This window comes from Homo sapiens, chromosome 9 (genome assembly GCF_000001405.40).
Source record: "Homo sapiens chromosome 9, GRCh38.p14 Primary Assembly".
Lineage (NCBI taxonomy): Eukaryota > Metazoa > Chordata > Mammalia > Primates > Hominidae > Homo > Homo sapiens.
The window spans coordinates 127,799,937-127,814,890 of NC_000009.12; the positions used below are offsets into that span (position 1 = coordinate 127,799,937).

The window sequence follows — 14,954 nt, forward strand, 5'->3', positions numbered from 1 at the left end:
AATCCTCCTGCCTCAGCCTCCAAATCACTGGGACCACAGATGTGCACCAGCATGCCCAGCAATTTTTGCTTTTTGTAGAGAAGGGGGTTTCACCATGTTGCCCAGGCTGATCTAGAACTCTAGGCTTCAAGCAATCTTCCCGCCTCAGTCTTCCAAAGTGCTAGGATTACAGGTGTGAGCCACTGCACCCAGCCCACAAAGGGCTATTATAACTGACATGAAAAAGCGAATCAGACATTAGAAAAATGGGCCAAGGATGGGTTAGGCAGTTCACTGACATAAATGCATGGGAAGATACTCAAGTTCACTGCAGCAGGGGAATGACAGAAACACTGAGATGGTTCTCTGCACCCTGTGGTCTGGGGGCATCCTGGGAGAGGGGTGCCTCCTTCACACACAGCTGCTGGGATGCCAAGACTACAGCAGCATTGGGGAAAAGGATTGCAAACATCCCTGGACCCAACCCCACCCCTCCATGCAATCCAACTCCCAGAAATCAAGCCCTTCGACGTAAACGCATATCCATAGCAGCAAAACACTGAAGGCAGAATGAATGCCCTTCCACAGGCGAATCCAGGATGCTCCTGGGAAGGCCATACGGCCATTAAAGACGCTGAATTAGCAGTGTCCCTGGGGAGACAGGGAAGGAGGCGCAGAGGCTAAGAATAAGGACTCTGGGGCCAGACGTCAAATCTTGGTTTTGTGACTTGAGCATATGCTTTTACTCCTTTGGGCCTATATGATAATATTAGTACCTATTTCATGGGTTTGTGATGAAGATTAAATGAGCAACTGTGTCAGAAGTGTTTATAGCAGTGTCTGAATCTAGAAAGGTACTACTTAAAGTGTTTGCGAAGGGCTGGGCGTGGTGGCTCAAGCATGTAATCCCAGCACTTTGGGAGGCCGAGGAAGGTGGATCACCTGAGGTCAGGGGTTCAAGACCAGACTGGCCAACATGGCGAAACCCCGTCTCTACTAAAAATACAAAAATTAGCCGGGTGTGATGGCACACACCTGTAGTCCCAGCTACTTGGGAGGCTGAGGCAGGAGAATTGCTTAAACCTGGGAGGTGCAGGTTGCAGTGAGCCAAGATGGCGCCACTGCACTCCAGCCTGGGTGACAGAGCAAAACTCCATCTCAAAAAAAAAAAAAAAAAAGTGTTTGCTAAGTAAATGTCTTAAAAAAATAATAAGCTTGTCATTGAGTAAGAAAGTTAAGTTGCAGCCAGGCATGGTGACTCATGCCTGTGATTCCAGCACTTTGGTAGGCCCAGGTGAGAGGATTGCTTGAGGGCAGGAGTTTAAGGCTGCAGTGAGCTATGATTGTGCCACTGCACTCCAGCTTGAGTTATAGATTGGGACCCTGTCTCTAAAAATAAACATTTTTGAAAAGCTAAGATGCAAAAATATTGTCACCTGCATTGGCAAGACCCTATAGATGTCTAGGTGTGTCTGGTTTCATGAGCATAGAAAACTATGGGACACATACTTAGTCGTCAACAGGATTGCCAGAGGAGGAACTGTGTGTGTGTGTGTGTGTATGGGGGAAGGGGGAAGGGAGTAAGCAAAATAAAAATATTTAAAGCCTCATGATTATTATTATTATTATTATTATTTTCGAGACAAAGTCTTGCTCTGTCACCCAGGCTGGAGTGCAGTGGTGTGATCTCAGCTCACTGAAACCTCTGCCTCCTGGGTTCAAGCAATTCCCCTGCCTCAGCCTCCCGAGTAGCTGGGATTACAGGCGCCTGCTACCACACCCGGCTAATTTTTGTATTTTTAGTAGAGATGGAGTTTCACCATCTTGGCCAGGCTGGTCTCGAAGTCCTTACCTCATGATCCACCCACTGCGGCCTCCCAAAGTGCTGGGATTACAGGCTCCTGCTACCACACCGGCTAATTTTTGTATTTTTAGTAGAGATGGAGTTTCACCATCTTGGCCAGGCTGGTCTCGAACTCCTTACCTCATGATCCACCCGCTGCGGCCTCCCAAAGTGTTGGGATTACAAGGCGTGAGCCACTGCGTCCAGTCTCTTGATTATTTTTATGCAGTCATTAAACTATATACATGCATATGTATAGAGAAAGTTTCAATGACTAAAAATAAGGAAACCAAGAAAGAACTTCTCTATCTGCCATGGGGCCAGGGTCGGGGCACCCCAGCAGTGTGTGAAGAGCAGAAGTCCAGCCAATGACAGACTCTTCCCAAAACATCACTTGCTTATTTCGAAATCAAACAATTTCTCATAAATATTTTCTCCCAATGCTGGGAAGAGGGAGAGGGGAAGGAGGTACGGAAACTCCATCAATCATTTGAAGGGCTGCCTTTTATCAGACTGATTTTCCGTAGTGGGTTGTTTGCAGCTTCCTCCTCCCCAGTTCTGGGCCTCAGCTGTCAAAAGGATTTCACCATGCAACTTTTTCATGCTAGCAGTTGGGGCCAAGAAGCTAATAGATGGGAAAAAGCTCTGAAAACTCCAGGACGACAAATAGGTGTCCTCCTCACAGAAAAGGATTACTGCCCCACCATCCCCAGGTGGCCCTCAAATCCGTTCTCTAAACGGCAGCAGCTGTTTAGAGGTGTCCACCAGGTGTCCGCAGCTTTGTCATCCTATCCCTGTTCGGGGCAGAGACTGAGGGCTGCTGACCCGGACCGGCTATTTTGGGACGTGCTGCGGGGGGCCTTGGGAGGTTGGTGACGAAAGGAGTGCGTGCCCGCTAAGGGAGGGGACGCCCCGGAGCGTACACTCATAAACCTGGTCCCGAGGCCTGCCCCTCACCAGGATGGTGCACGCGGAAGGGGCGGCTTTTTAGTGGCGCAAGGGGGCTGGTCGGTGGTAGTTTGGGGCGGTGCTGATTGATGGCGGGCGGGGCGGGGCGGTGCTGATTGGCGGGGGGGGCGGGGTGAGGCGACGCTGCGCTGATTGGCTGGGGGCGGGGCGGGGCGTCTCCCGCCCGGGCCTAGAGCGCTGCCGGGGGCGCCGGGACTATGTCGCGGGCGCGGAGCCACCTGCGCGCCGCTCTATTCCTGGCAGCGGCGTCTGCGCGCGGCATAACGACCCAGGTCGCGGCGCGGCGGGGCTTGAGCGCGTGGCCGGTGCCGCAGGAGCCGAGCATGGAGTACCAGGTATCAGGCGGGCCAGCGGGCCAGCGGGCCTGGGCGCGACGACACGTGGGCCTGCGCTGAGCCGCAGAACATCCGGGCTCCGCTAGCCGAGAGGGTATCGGGAGCCCTGGACTGGGGGACTCGGGGGGCGGAACATCCTGGAGGCTGGGGGTGGGGACAGGGACCAGGAAGTTGGGCCCGGGCCGCCGGGGCTGGGAATTCGGAGACTATAGCGTCCCCGCCCCGGGTTGGGAAGTGGGAAGTGGCACAGGAGCTAGGATCCAGAAGCCCAGAGGCTCAGCGGTGCTTCTGGAGTTCCAGTGATCCCGGAGTCTGAACCGGCAGTGAGAGTGGGGAAAGAGGGTAGGGAAGAGACTCAGGAATTCAGGCTTGAAAGATCCAGGAGTATTGATCTGGGGGTGGGCTGTCCAGGATTCAGAAGATTGGGGATCCAAGTGCCTGGATTTGGGGGAGAGGCAGGAATCAGGGGTAGTGGAGGGCCCCAGAACCTGGAAAATAGAAAATGTCCGCGGGCGCTGTGTCAAGAGCCGGTTGCCCTAGACCAGACCCTGATGCCAGTGAGGCGGGTGGCACTGGTTTGATGAGGGTGGAGCCTCCAACCAGCCTTGAGGTCCTGAGGGTGGGAGGCACGGAATATGAGGCCTAAGGGGAATGAAATAGCACCCCCACTCCCACTTCCATTGTGAACCCTCCTGAAGCCGTACCTACCTGCCTTCCTGGCTGAGTGACCCCTGGCACACCCCTCCTCCCTCTGAGTTGCTCCTCTGTGGGTTGGAATGTGGAACCCCAGAGTCATGAGGGTTGGGGTGGAGCTTCGGGGAACTCCAGAATTCGAATACCCCAGCCTTCTGTAGTTCTGGCCCCGCTCTGGCAGGGAGCAATATAGCAATGGACCCCATTGGAGAGAATGAGGGCAAAGGCCCAGGAGTGAAGTCGGGGGAGCCTGGGCAGGAAGCAAGGCTAGCCCGTTAGTCATGCCACCTTCTTTGTGTAGCACTCCCTGGGTGGGGCTGAACTGCCCCAGACTCCCATTTTTGCCAGAGCTGGAAAGATGCCATACTCTCTGTTGCTTAACCTACAGGCTAGGCTAACAGTGCTGGCATGGCAGGCGGGCCTGGTACTGGCCTTGTTGCCCTGGCTTGGCCACTGGTCTGCTGGCTGTCTCTGTGCCTGTGGACCCTGAGTGAGCCTTAACCTACTATCTGGGCACTGTGGTTGCCAGGATGCCGTGCGCATGCTCAATACCCTGCAGACCAATGCCGGCTACCTGGAGCAGGTGAAGCGCCAGCGGGGTGACCCTCAGACACAGTTGGAAGCCATGGAACTGTACCTGGCACGGAGTGGGCTGCAGGTAAGGTAGAGAGGGCCTGTGACCACCTCCCACCCCCATTTGTGATTCCCGTAGCTGAGGCAGGGACCTTGTCTGTCTGTCCCAGGTGGAGGACTTGGACCGGCTGAACATCATCCACGTCACTGGGACGAAGGGGAAGGTGAGGGGCAGGACCCTGGGGTAGGGGGTCTATTAAGTGGCTGGTGGAGTAGAGCCTGCCCAGACAATCCCTTTTCTTTCAAGGGCTCCACCTGTGCCTTCACGGAATGTATCCTCCGAAGCTATGGCCTGAAGACGGGATTCTTTAGGTACTGGCTTGTGGGGGGATGTGGTGTCTGTGTCCCAATGGACCCTGGGGGGCTATGGAACCAGCCAGTGCTTCAGGACCAGGGTCACCCCCAGGAGGTCAGCTGCATGTCTCTCTGCCCAGTGTTTATTCATTCAATAAACATTCAGTTAGCACTTACCATATTGGCCCATGTTTATGGCAACCTTTAATTTTTTTTTTTTTTTTGAGACTGAGTCTCACTCTATCGCCCAGGCTGGAGTACAATGGCACGATCTTGGCTCACTGCAACCCCCGCCTGCCAGGTTCAAGCAATTCTCCTGCTTCAGCCTCCCAAGTAGCTTGGATTACAGGCACCTGCCACCACACCAGGCTAATTTTTATATTTTTAGTAGAGATGGGGTTTCACCATGTTGGCCAGGCTGTTCTCGAACTCCTGACCTCAAGTGATCCGCCCACCTCGGCCTCCTAAAGTGCTGGGATTACAGGTGTGAGCCACGGTGCCTGGCCTTAATTTTCATAATTAAAAAAAAATTGGGGAAGGGGCAGCAACTTTAATGTATAAACTAAATATGTAGCAGGAGGTCCAGTGTGGTGGCTCATGCCTATAATCCCAGCACTTTGGGCAGCTGACATGGGAGGATCACCTGAGTCTGGGGAGGTCAAGGCTGCAGTTAGCAGTGATCATGCCATTGCACATCAGCCTGGGCGACAGAGCAAACTGCTATCTTAAAAAAAAAAAAGAAAATTACATAGCTGGAATAGTCAGATGGTCAGATGTCTCTTTAATAACTTAAAGTCCAGGTTGAGTGTGGTGGCTCACAACTGTAATCCTAGCACTTTGGGAGGCCAAGGTGGGAGGATCACTGGAGCTCAGGAGTTTGAGACCAGCTTGGGCAACGTAGTGAGACTTCATCTCTATTAAAAAAAAAATGAAAAGAAAAAATTTTAAAGTCCATATATAACTTTAAAATCACATAGAGATATTTATCAATTAGTATGTCTTTAGAGTAAGGAGAAAATTGCCTTGCAAGGGCTTAAACGATAAGGGTGGCTTGTGCCATCCACGTTAAGGTCTCCTAGGCGGGCTGCAGATAGGAGCCCTTCTGCTTGGCCACTCTCCACTGTGGCTTTGCCCTGGGGCAGCGCCCCCTCTTGGTCTCACTTGTCTAGACTTACACAAGAGGATGGCCAGGTGGAACCGGGATCACTCTTCCTGTGCCACGCATGTCTTCTAAGCCCATCACCACGAACTTCTGAAATCAGCTGCCTAAGGTCATTTCAAGCCGATATGTTTTCCCTAAACAGTTCTTGTTCAAATAAAGAGATGGAGAGGAGGACTTACTACCTGAGTAGCTTTGAGGATTGAAACATAAGGCACCAACCTGTCTTCTAAAATCACTTTTTGGGCCAGGCGTGGTGGCTCATGCCTGTAATCCCAGCACTTTGGGAGGCCGAAGCAGGCAGATCACTTGAGGCCAGGAGTTCAAGAGCAGCCTGGCCAACATGGCGAAACCCTATCTCTACTAAAAATACCAAAAAATTGGCTGGGCACGGTGGCTCATGCCTGTAATCCCAGCACTTTGGGAGGCTGAGGTGGGTGGATCACCAGAGGTCAGGAGTTCAAGACCAGCCTGGCTAACATGGCGTAACCCTGTCTCTACTAAAAATACAAGAATCAGCGAGGCGTGGTGGTGTGTGCCTGTAGTCCCAGCTACTTGGGAGGCCGAGGCATGAGAAACGCTTGAACCTGGGAGGCAGAGGTTGCAGTGAGCCAAGATTGCACCACTGCACTCCAGCCTAGGCGACAGAACAAGACCCTGTCTCAAAAATAAATAAATAAAAACTACAATCATTTTTGGGATAAAAACCTAGCCTTCAACTTGGGCCCACATGGCCTTGAGGGCCAGCCCAGGGCTGCAGCTTGAACATTGGTTGTGGGCTTTGTCTCTGAGAGCTGTAAGACAGATGACATTGTGGGACAGATGTCAGCAGAGTGACTGATTGGTATGGGACTGTTGGAGCCCATAGAATGTGCAAGACCAGCCTGGGTGAGGAGGCTGTCTTAGTTGAGACCAACGTGGTGAATAGGGTGAGCCAGGTGCAGAGGCCTGGAGATAGAAGATGGGGAGGACTGGGGGGCTACAGATAGTCCGGGGGGATGGGGCACCAGGAACAAACCGAGGGACACAGGAGAGATGAGGCACGGAGGCCAGTAGCATCAGTCCCTGCAGGGTGGGGGAAGGCCAGGACGCTCGGGAAGGGAGTCCTGATGACCCCAGCTGTCCCGGCAGCTCTCCCCACCTGGTGCAGGTTCGGGAGCGGATCCGCATCAATGGGCAGCCCATCAGTCCTGAGCTCTTCACCAAGTACTTCTGGCGCCTCTACCACCGGCTGGAGGAGACCAAGGTGCCGCATGCAGGAGGGCTGGCGGGTGGGTATGGTTGGGGGTGCTACGTGTTCCAGCACCCCATCTCCCCAGAGAAGGGGCTGCATGGGCTCTGGGCCCTGACATGTCCCTGTGCCACAGGATGGCAGCTGTGTCTCCATGCCCCCCTACTTCCGCTTCCTGACACTCATGGCCTTCCACGTCTTCCTCCAAGAGAAGGTGTGTGCCCTCTCCCTAGAACCCTGCATCTGAGGCCTTGGGAACGGGAACCTCAGCAGGCCTGGGGGCTCCCTGCTTCCATGCGGCCTCTGGGCACCCTCATATCCCCTGCCATGCCCTCTGGTCTTTGACAGGTGGACCTGGCAGTGGTGGAGGTGGGCATTGGCGGGGCTTATGACTGCACCAACATCATCAGGTGAGCGCAGTTGCTTGGGACGAGGGGTGGCAGCCAGGAGCACAGCCTCACCTGCCGCCTGGTGGCTCAGGGCAGGGCCTCATGGCCTTTTCCTCCCCTGCAGGAAGCCTGTGGTGTGCGGAGTCTCCTCTCTTGGCATCGACCACACCAGCCTCCTGGGGGATACGGTGGAGAAGATCGCATGGCAGAAAGGGGGCATCTTTAAGGTGACCAGGCAGACTGGGGGAAGGGAGAGACATGGAAGGCCTGGGAGTCTACGTTTTCATCCTGGCTTCACTGTGTGACTGGAACAAGTTGAGTCTCCTCTCCAGACTATTTCCCCATTGAAACGTGAGGGATGGCTGGGCATGGTGGCTTATATGCTTGCAATCCCAGCATTTCAGGAGGTCGAGGTGAGAGGATCACCTGAGATCCGGAGTTTGAGACCAGCCTGACCAATATGGGGAAACTCTGTCTCTACTAAAAATACAAAAATTAGCCAGGTGTGGTGGTGTACGCCTGTAGTTCCAGCTACTTGGGAGACTGAGGCAGGAGAATCACTCGAACCCGGGAGGCAGACGTTGCAGTGAGCCGAGATTGCGCCACAGCACTCCAGCCTGGGTGACAGAGTGAGACTTCATCTCGAAAAAGAAAAGAAAAGAAACATGAGGGATGAGAGACAGTGGTAGCCCAGACCCAGGGATGTGGGGGCCAGAGATAGGAGTGTGGAGGATGCTAGGTAGCCCTTTCTCTCTCCTTCTTCCCTCCACAGCAAGGTGTCCCTGCCTTCACTGTGCTCCAACCTGAAGGTCCCCTGGCAGTGCTGAGGGACCGAGCCCAGCAGATCTCAGTAAGTCTGATTGGAATGGGGCAGCGGCAGGGTGGGTTTGTGTCCCTCCTGTTTGAGGAGGCACTGCATCCTCTGGGGCCTCAGTTTGCCCATCTGTGCAGTGAGGACGCTGGGCCAGCTGCCAGGCCTGCTGGAACACATCTCAGTTCTGGGAGCAGGGCTTGGTGGCTGGGGGAGGGGAGAGATGCAAGGGCTGACGTGGTCAGGGAGGGCCTCTGCTGACCCGCTCCTGCCTGTCTCCCCTAGTGTCCTCTATACCTGTGTCCGATGCTGGAGGCCCTCGAGGAAGGGGGGCCGCCGCTGACCCTGGGCCTGGAGGGGGAGCACCAGCGGTCCAACGCCGCCTTGGCCTTGCAGCTGGCCCACTGCTGGCTGCAGCGGCAGGACCGCCATGGTGAGTGGGCAGCTGAGTGGGCAGGCAGGTGGGTGGCACCTGTGGAGCCTGCCTAGGAGGGTCCCGGACACACTTGGTCTCACACACCCCGCAGGTGCTGGGGAGCCAAAGGCATCCAGGCCAGGGCTCCTGTGGCAGCTGCCCCTGGCACCTGTGTTCCAGCCCACATCCCACATGCGGCTCGGTGAGTTAGACCTTCCTGCCCAGCTGGGACCACTGCGTGTGTCTGTGCCCCTTCAGATTTTTTTTTTTTTTTTTTTTGGTTTTCTGTTTGGGAGATAAGAGACAATTTGAAGTGGTGCTTAAGAGAAAGGACTCTGATGTCAGCAAACCTCCCTGACCTTGAGCTCATGAACTCTTTCTGAGCCTGTCTTCTCATCTGCCAAAGTAGATGATGATAGGAGCCACTGCCACGGGCTGTGGTGGGGATTCGCTGAGGTGACATCACTAAGGTGCTGAGTGCAGAGCCTGGCCAATGTGGGATAAAGTGCCAGCCAGTGGTAGCTGCTGTCACTGTCACTATCATCATCATCAGACCCTGAGGTTCTGGAGGATGGTGATCCAGTCATCTGCTTCTTGCCTCCCCCAAAGCTTTCAGCACCCAGCAGGTGCTCATGCTGTTAAGCCCCTTCAGCAAATGGTGGGCCCGCTGTGTGCCACGCCTGTTATCAAGGGCAAGTGACAAGGTCCTGGAGACAAACCGACCTCGCATCACATCCCGGCCCCAGCTAAGGGCTCTCAGGCTGTCAAACGGGAATAGCAGGCCCTTTCAGGGTTGCCTGAAAGATTCCACCAGATGAGACAGCCGAAAAGCCCAAGCCATTGACTGGTGCTAGTAAAAAGTTCCTGGGCTGCCGGGGTCCTGAGTGTTGAGGGCGGGCGCAGCCTGCAGGGGAGAACGGGCTCAGGAGTGTGTGTGCGGAATTGAGGACGGGGGTGGGAGAGGGCCTGGAGGACTGCCTTGCTGCCCTCCCCCAGGGCTTCGGAACACGGAGTGGCCGGGCCGGACGCAGGTGCTGCGGCGCGGGCCCCTCACCTGGTACCTGGACGGTGCGCACACCGCCAGCAGCGCGCAGGCCTGCGTGCGCTGGTTCCGCCAGGCGCTGCAGGGCCGCGAGAGGCCGAGCGGGTGAGGGGCAGGGCTGGGGGTGGGGCCGGGGCTGGCCCACGAGGAGGGGCGGGATCTTGGGGAAGGGCGGGGCGGGGTCGTGGGGAAGGGCGGGGGCGGGCCCATGGGGAGGGGCGGGGTCGTGGGCGGGGACGGGATTGGTACCGCAGGGAGAACGGGCGGCGCCCTTTGACCCAGCTCCTCACCTCTGTCGCAGTGGCCCCGAGGTTCGAGTCTTGCTCTTCAATGCTACCGGGGACCGGGACCCGGCGGCCCTGCTGAAGCTGCTGCAGGTGAGGGGCCAACTTGGGGGTGGGCGGCAGGCAGTCCTGAAGCCCTGGGTCTGGCGGTGTGACCCTGGGGGGTGCCAATCCCCTCCCCCTTGAGTTGTATTGAGGATTAGATGTGACAAGGTGCCTGTGCTGGTTCTGCCAGGTGCTGCAGGGCCGTGGGGAGGCCAGTCATAGGTCATTACTCATATTCCCGCGTGTCTAGACTCAAGTCCAGGCTTAAGAGGAGGGCCAGATCGTGGCTAAAGGTGTAGACTCTGGACTCGCTTGTCATGCCCCTTTAGGCACTAGCATATCACCCTGGACGAGAAGCGGCATTTCCCCGAGCCTCAGTTTGCCTCTCCGTAAAATGGGGTTGCTGCTAGGGGCACCCGCTTCTCAGGTTTGGTTGAAGGAGTCATTGGGCCTTTCTCTGCTTGGGGAAACTGAGGCTGCCCAAGCTGTCAGGGCTGAAGTGGCCCCTAGGTATCATCTCCCATTTCACAGACCAGGAGGCTGAGGCTGTATCCAGAACCTCTCCCATTTACCCACAGCCTTTTTCCAGCCTGGATTTGGGGCCCCCTCACTATCTGAGTGACCTTCAGCAAGTCCCCTTGCCCTGTGGCCACTGTTCCCCTGTCTGTACAGTAGGTTGGGGCTTCGCTGCTCAGGCCACAGGCCAGGCAGGGTATACTGAGGCAGATGGGGGCAGGGTGCTGAAGTACCTTGGCTAGGTTTATACAGCATCATTCTAGTTGTCAGGGAGGCTGCATCTCCAGAGATGTGGGCGCAGGGGGCCATATGGAAGTTGGTGGACATCCTTTCGGGGGTCTGACACCAAGTCTTTCCCTTGGCCTTCTAGCCCTGCCAGTTTGACTATGCCGTCTTCTGCCCTAACCTGACAGAGGTGTCATCCACAGGCAACGCAGGTGAGAGGTGACAGGCATGGCCCCTGGGGATGAGCAGGGGTCCCTGAGGTAGACAGTGGGGGCTTCCAAACTGGAGGTTTGGGGTAGGAAATAAATTTGTTTTACTGTGTAAGAACACTTTAGTGTACTTATACTCTTTTATACACCAAAGTATACTTTATTTAATTTTATTTTAAAAAATTTTTGGCTGGCCACGGTGGCTCACGCCTGTAATCCCAGCACTTTGGGAGGCCAAGGCAGGCAGATCACGAGGTCAGGAGATTGAGACCATCCTGGCTAACATGGTGAAACCCCGTCTCTACAAAAAAAAAATACAAAAAATTAGCCAGGCGTAGTGGTGGGTGCCTGTAGTCTCAGCTACTCAGGAGGCTGAGGCAGGAGAATGGCGTGAACTCGGGAGGCGGAGCTGGCAGTGAGCCGAGATCGCGCCACTGCACTCTAGGTCTGGGCGACAGAGCGAGACTGTCTCAAAAAAAAAAAAAATTAATTTTTGAGACAGAGTCTCACTCTGTCCCCCAGGCTGGAATATAGTGGCACAATCTCAGCTCACTGCAACCTCTGCCTCCTAGGTTCAAATGATTCTCATGTCTCAGCCTCTGGAATAGCTGGGATTACAGGCGTGTGCCAACATGCCCAGCTAAGTTTTATATTTTTAGTAGAGACAGGGTTTCTCCATGTTGGCCAGGCTGGTGTCAAACTCCTGGCCTCAAATGATCCACCCACCTCAGCCTCCCAAAGTGCTGGGATTACAGTTGTGAGCCACCACGCCCAGCCAGCATTTTTTATTTTATATGAAATAGAGTAGAATAGAAAATACCAGTGTACGTTGCACAGAGTAAGGGTAGGTCCTGTTTGGTGAAGATTAGTCTGTTCCAGGCATATGTATAAGTATGTGAGTACTGAGTTGCAGTGTAAAATGTGTTTTTTACCATGTATCATGTTAAAAAAAGTTTGAAATAGTGTAAAAATTACAGATCCCAGGCTGGACTTGGTGGCTCACACCTATAATCCCAGCACTTTGGCAGGAGGATCGTTTGAGCTCAGGAGTTAAAAGCCAGACCTCATCTCTATAAAAAAAAATAGAAGAATTAGCCAGGTGTGGTGGTGTACACCCGTGGTCCTAGCTACTCAGGAGGCTGAAGTGGAAGGATCGCTTGAGCCTGGAAGGTGGAGGCTGCAGTGAGTCATGAAGTCGTGATTGCATCACTGCACTCCAGCCTGGGTGACAGAGCAAGACCCTGGACCCTCTCTAAAAATAAAAAATCTCCAGTCCTCACATCAGTCTGGTTGGGGAGAGTTCTGGAATCTGCATTTTTTTTTTTTTTTTCTTGAGACAGTCTCGTTCTGTCACTCAGGCTGCCCAGGCTGGAGTGCAGTGGTGCCATCTCGGCTCATTGCAACTTCTGCCTCCCAGGTTCAAATGATTCTCCTGCCTCAGCCTCGTGAGTAGCCGGGACTACAGGTGCACGCCACTACACCCGGCTAATTTTTGTTTTTTGTTTGTTTATAAGATGGAGTCTTGCTCTGTCGCCCAGGCTGGAGTGCAATGGCTTGATCTCAGCTCACTGCAATCTCCACCTCCCGGGTTCAAGTGATACTCTTGCCTCAGCCTTCCAAGTATAGCTGGGATTATAGGCGTGTGCCACCACACCTGGCTAATTTTTGTCCAGCTAATTTTTGTGTGTGTGTGTTTTTTTCAGAGACGGGGTTTCACCATGTTGGCCAGGCTGATCTTGAACTCTTGACCTCAGGTGATCCGCCCGCCTCGGCCTCCCAAAGTGCTGGGATTACAAGTGTGAGCCACTGCACCCAGCCTGGAATCTGCGTTTTTAACCAGCATCCCCAGAAATAACTATGCTCACCTGGTGATGGTCCCCAGCTGGATGTACATTTTATAGATGGAGACAATGAGGCCAGAGTGGGGAAGGGGTGCCTAGTGGGCAAAAGCTTTGGAGTCAGACTGTCTGGCTCTGCCTCTCGTGACCTTGGTGAAGTCACTGAACCTGCCTGAGCCTCAGTTTCTTCACTGTGTGCATGGAGAAGGCCACTAGCCGAGACTGCTGGCCTGATGACGTAAAAGGCTTGGTGCGAAGCAGGTGCTCACGGTGCACCCGCCCCTTTCTCCACCCCTGTCCCTTACTCCCTCTCCCCTTCGCTGATAGGCCTTTCTCTGTGCCCCACAGACCAACAGAACTTCACAGTGACACTGGACCAGGTCCTGCTCCGCTGCCTGGAACACCAGCAGCACTGGAACCACCTGGACGAAGAGCAGGCCAGCCCGGACCTCTGGAGTGCCCCCAGCCCAGAGCCCGGTGGGTCCGCATCCCTGCTTCTGGCGCCCCACCCACCCCACACCTGCAGTGCCAGCTCCCTCGTCTTCAGCTGCATTTCACATGCCTTGCAATGGATCAGCCAAGGCCGAGACCCCATCTTCCAGCCACCTAGTCCCCCAAAGGGCCTCCTCACCCACCCTGTGGCTCACAGTGGGGCCAGCATACTCCGTGAGGCTGCTGCCATCCATGTGCTAGTCACTGGCAGCCTGCACCTGGTGGGTGGTGTCCTGAAGCTGCTGGAGCCCGCACTGTCCCAGTAGCCAAGGCCCGGGGTTGGAGGTGGGAGCTTCCCACACCTGCCTGCGTTCTCCCCATGAACTTACATACTAGGTGCCTTTTGTTTTTGGCTTTCCTGGTTCTGTCTAGACTGGCCTAGGGGCCAGGGCTTTGGGATGGGAGGCCGGGAGAGGATGTCTTTTTTAAGGCTCTGTGCCTTGGTCTCTCCTTCCTCTTGGCTGAGATAGCAGAGGGGCTCCCCGGGTCTCTCACTGTTGCAGTGGCCTGGCCGTTCAGCCTGTCTCCCCCAACACCCCGCCTGCCTCCTGGCTCAGGCCCAGCTTATTGTGTGCGCTGCCTGGCCAGGCCCTGGGTCTTGCCATGTGCTGGGTGGTAGATTTCCTCCTCCCAGTGCCTTCTGGGAAGGGAGAGGGCCTCTGCCTGGGACACTGCGGGACAGAGGGTGGCTGGAGTGAATTAAAGCCTTTGTTTTTTAAAGAAATGGCAAAGCCTTCGACTGACCCTTGACCCCCTGCTCCCTCAGCAGAGACGGAGGGAGGGGCTGCTGGTGGTCAGGGACCTGCACTGTGTAGAGGGAGCCTGGCTGTGTGGCCTGGAACAAGTCCCTCCCTCCCTGTGCGCCTCAGGTGGCCTGTCTGTGAGATGAGAAGAAGACCAGACTGAAGCCTGTTCACCATATGCCAGGCAGTGCTTTCTGCAGACCCCCTTGCAGAGACCTTGTGATGGAGAATTATACACATTTGACAGACGAGGGAACTGTGGCTGGTTTCAAGAAGCCATGGAGGCCGGGCACGGTGGCTCACGCCTGTAATCCCAGCACTTTGGGAGGCTGAGGCGGGCGGATCATGAGGTCAAGAGGTCGAGACCATCTGGCCAACATGGTGAAACCCCGTCTCTGCTAAAAATACAAAAATTATTAGCTGGACGTGGTGGCGCATGCCTGTAGTCCCAGCTACTCGGGAGGCTGAGGCAGGACAATTGCTTGAACCTGGGAGGCAGAGGTTGCAGTGAGCTGAGATAGAGATAGTGCCACTGTACTCCAGCCTGGGCGACAGAGCAAGACTCCATCTCAAAAAAAAAAAAGCCATGGGACCTGCCTACAGTCACAGGCCAACAAGGTGGCAGGTCCAGGATTTGAACTTAGAGCAGTCGAGGGCCTGTGTTCGGAACCCCAGAGTGAGAGTGTGGATGGGGCCTCCTGGTGTTTGCTTTCTTGCAGCCTAGACCCTGGGGTGTGCTGTCGAGTGGGTGAATGGCAGAGGGGAACTGGCTGAATGAAAACCTGCTGTGCCCTGGATGCTGCTACTGT

General features: G+C 55.0%; 1 protein-coding gene across 7 annotated transcripts, besides 4 other annotated features; it reads left to right on the plus strand.

Annotated features, from left to right (window-relative positions):
* Positions 2,783-3,182: a silencer, noted in NCBI's record as "silent region_20313". NCBI's record gives its function as "represses an Ori minimal core promoter by ATAC-STARR-seq in GM12878 lymphoblastoid cells {active_cell/tissue: GM12878}" and the evidence as "EXISTENCE:reporter gene assay evidence [ECO:0000049][PMID:35858748]".
* Positions 2,922-14,570, plus strand: FPGS (folylpolyglutamate synthase). Of its 7 annotated transcripts, none has more exons than XM_005251864.5 (16): positions 2,922-3,126; positions 4,349-4,477; positions 4,563-4,616; positions 4,700-4,764; positions 7,037-7,151; positions 7,273-7,350; positions 7,485-7,546; positions 7,650-7,752; positions 8,298-8,375; positions 8,622-8,769; positions 8,864-8,953; positions 9,748-9,898; positions 10,095-10,170; positions 11,009-11,075; positions 13,259-13,387; positions 14,272-14,570. In XM_005251864.5, exons 1-16 carry the CDS (start codon positions 2,989-2,991, stop codon positions 14,289-14,291), a joined length of 1,503 nt encoding a protein of 500 aa, XP_005251921.1. In that variant the 5' UTR covers positions 2,922-2,988; the 3' UTR covers positions 14,292-14,570. The 7 variants fall into 7 exon arrangements, 6 of the variants coding, with proteins under 6 accessions (XP_005251921.1, NP_001275732.1, NP_004948.4 ...); XM_047423127.1 differs by lacking the exon at positions 2,922-3,126 and adding an exon at positions 3,245-3,468 and having other exon boundaries at positions 4,208-4,477; NR_110170.1 differs by lacking the exon at positions 14,272-14,570 and having other exon boundaries at positions 7,056-7,151; positions 13,259-14,145.
* Positions 8,896-9,538: an enhancer, noted in NCBI's record as "H3K4me1 hESC enhancer chr9:130571111-130571753 (GRCh37/hg19 assembly coordinates)". NCBI's record gives its function as "activates a minimal SCP1, AML or CMV promoter by ChIP-STARR-seq in naive H9 embryonic stem cells {active_cell/tissue: H9 hESC(naive)}" and the evidence as "EXISTENCE:reporter gene assay evidence [ECO:0000049][PMID:30033119]".
* Positions 9,539-10,182: an enhancer, noted in NCBI's record as "H3K4me1 hESC enhancer chr9:130571754-130572397 (GRCh37/hg19 assembly coordinates)". NCBI's record gives its function as "activates a minimal SCP1, AML or CMV promoter by ChIP-STARR-seq in naive H9 embryonic stem cells {active_cell/tissue: H9 hESC(naive)}" and the evidence as "EXISTENCE:reporter gene assay evidence [ECO:0000049][PMID:30033119]".
* Positions 10,183-10,825: an enhancer, noted in NCBI's record as "H3K4me1 hESC enhancer chr9:130572398-130573040 (GRCh37/hg19 assembly coordinates)". NCBI's record gives its function as "activates a minimal SCP1, AML or CMV promoter by ChIP-STARR-seq in naive H9 embryonic stem cells {active_cell/tissue: H9 hESC(naive)}" and the evidence as "EXISTENCE:reporter gene assay evidence [ECO:0000049][PMID:30033119]".

Bases quoted from the DNA above. Each gene is read 5' to 3' on its own strand.
- FPGS (NM_004957.6), top strand. From the start codon at position 2,989: ATGTCGCGGGCGCGGAGCCACCTGCGCGCCGCTCTATTCCTGGCAGCG. The intron at 7,351-7,484 runs GTGTGTGCCCTC...GGTCTTTGACAG, and splicing joins ACGTCTTCCTCCAAGAGAAG to GTGGACCTGGCAGTGGTGGA. The intron at 8,770-8,863 runs GTGAGTGGGCAG...CACACCCCGCAG, and splicing joins GCAGCGGCAGGACCGCCATG to GTGCTGGGGAGCCAAAGGCA.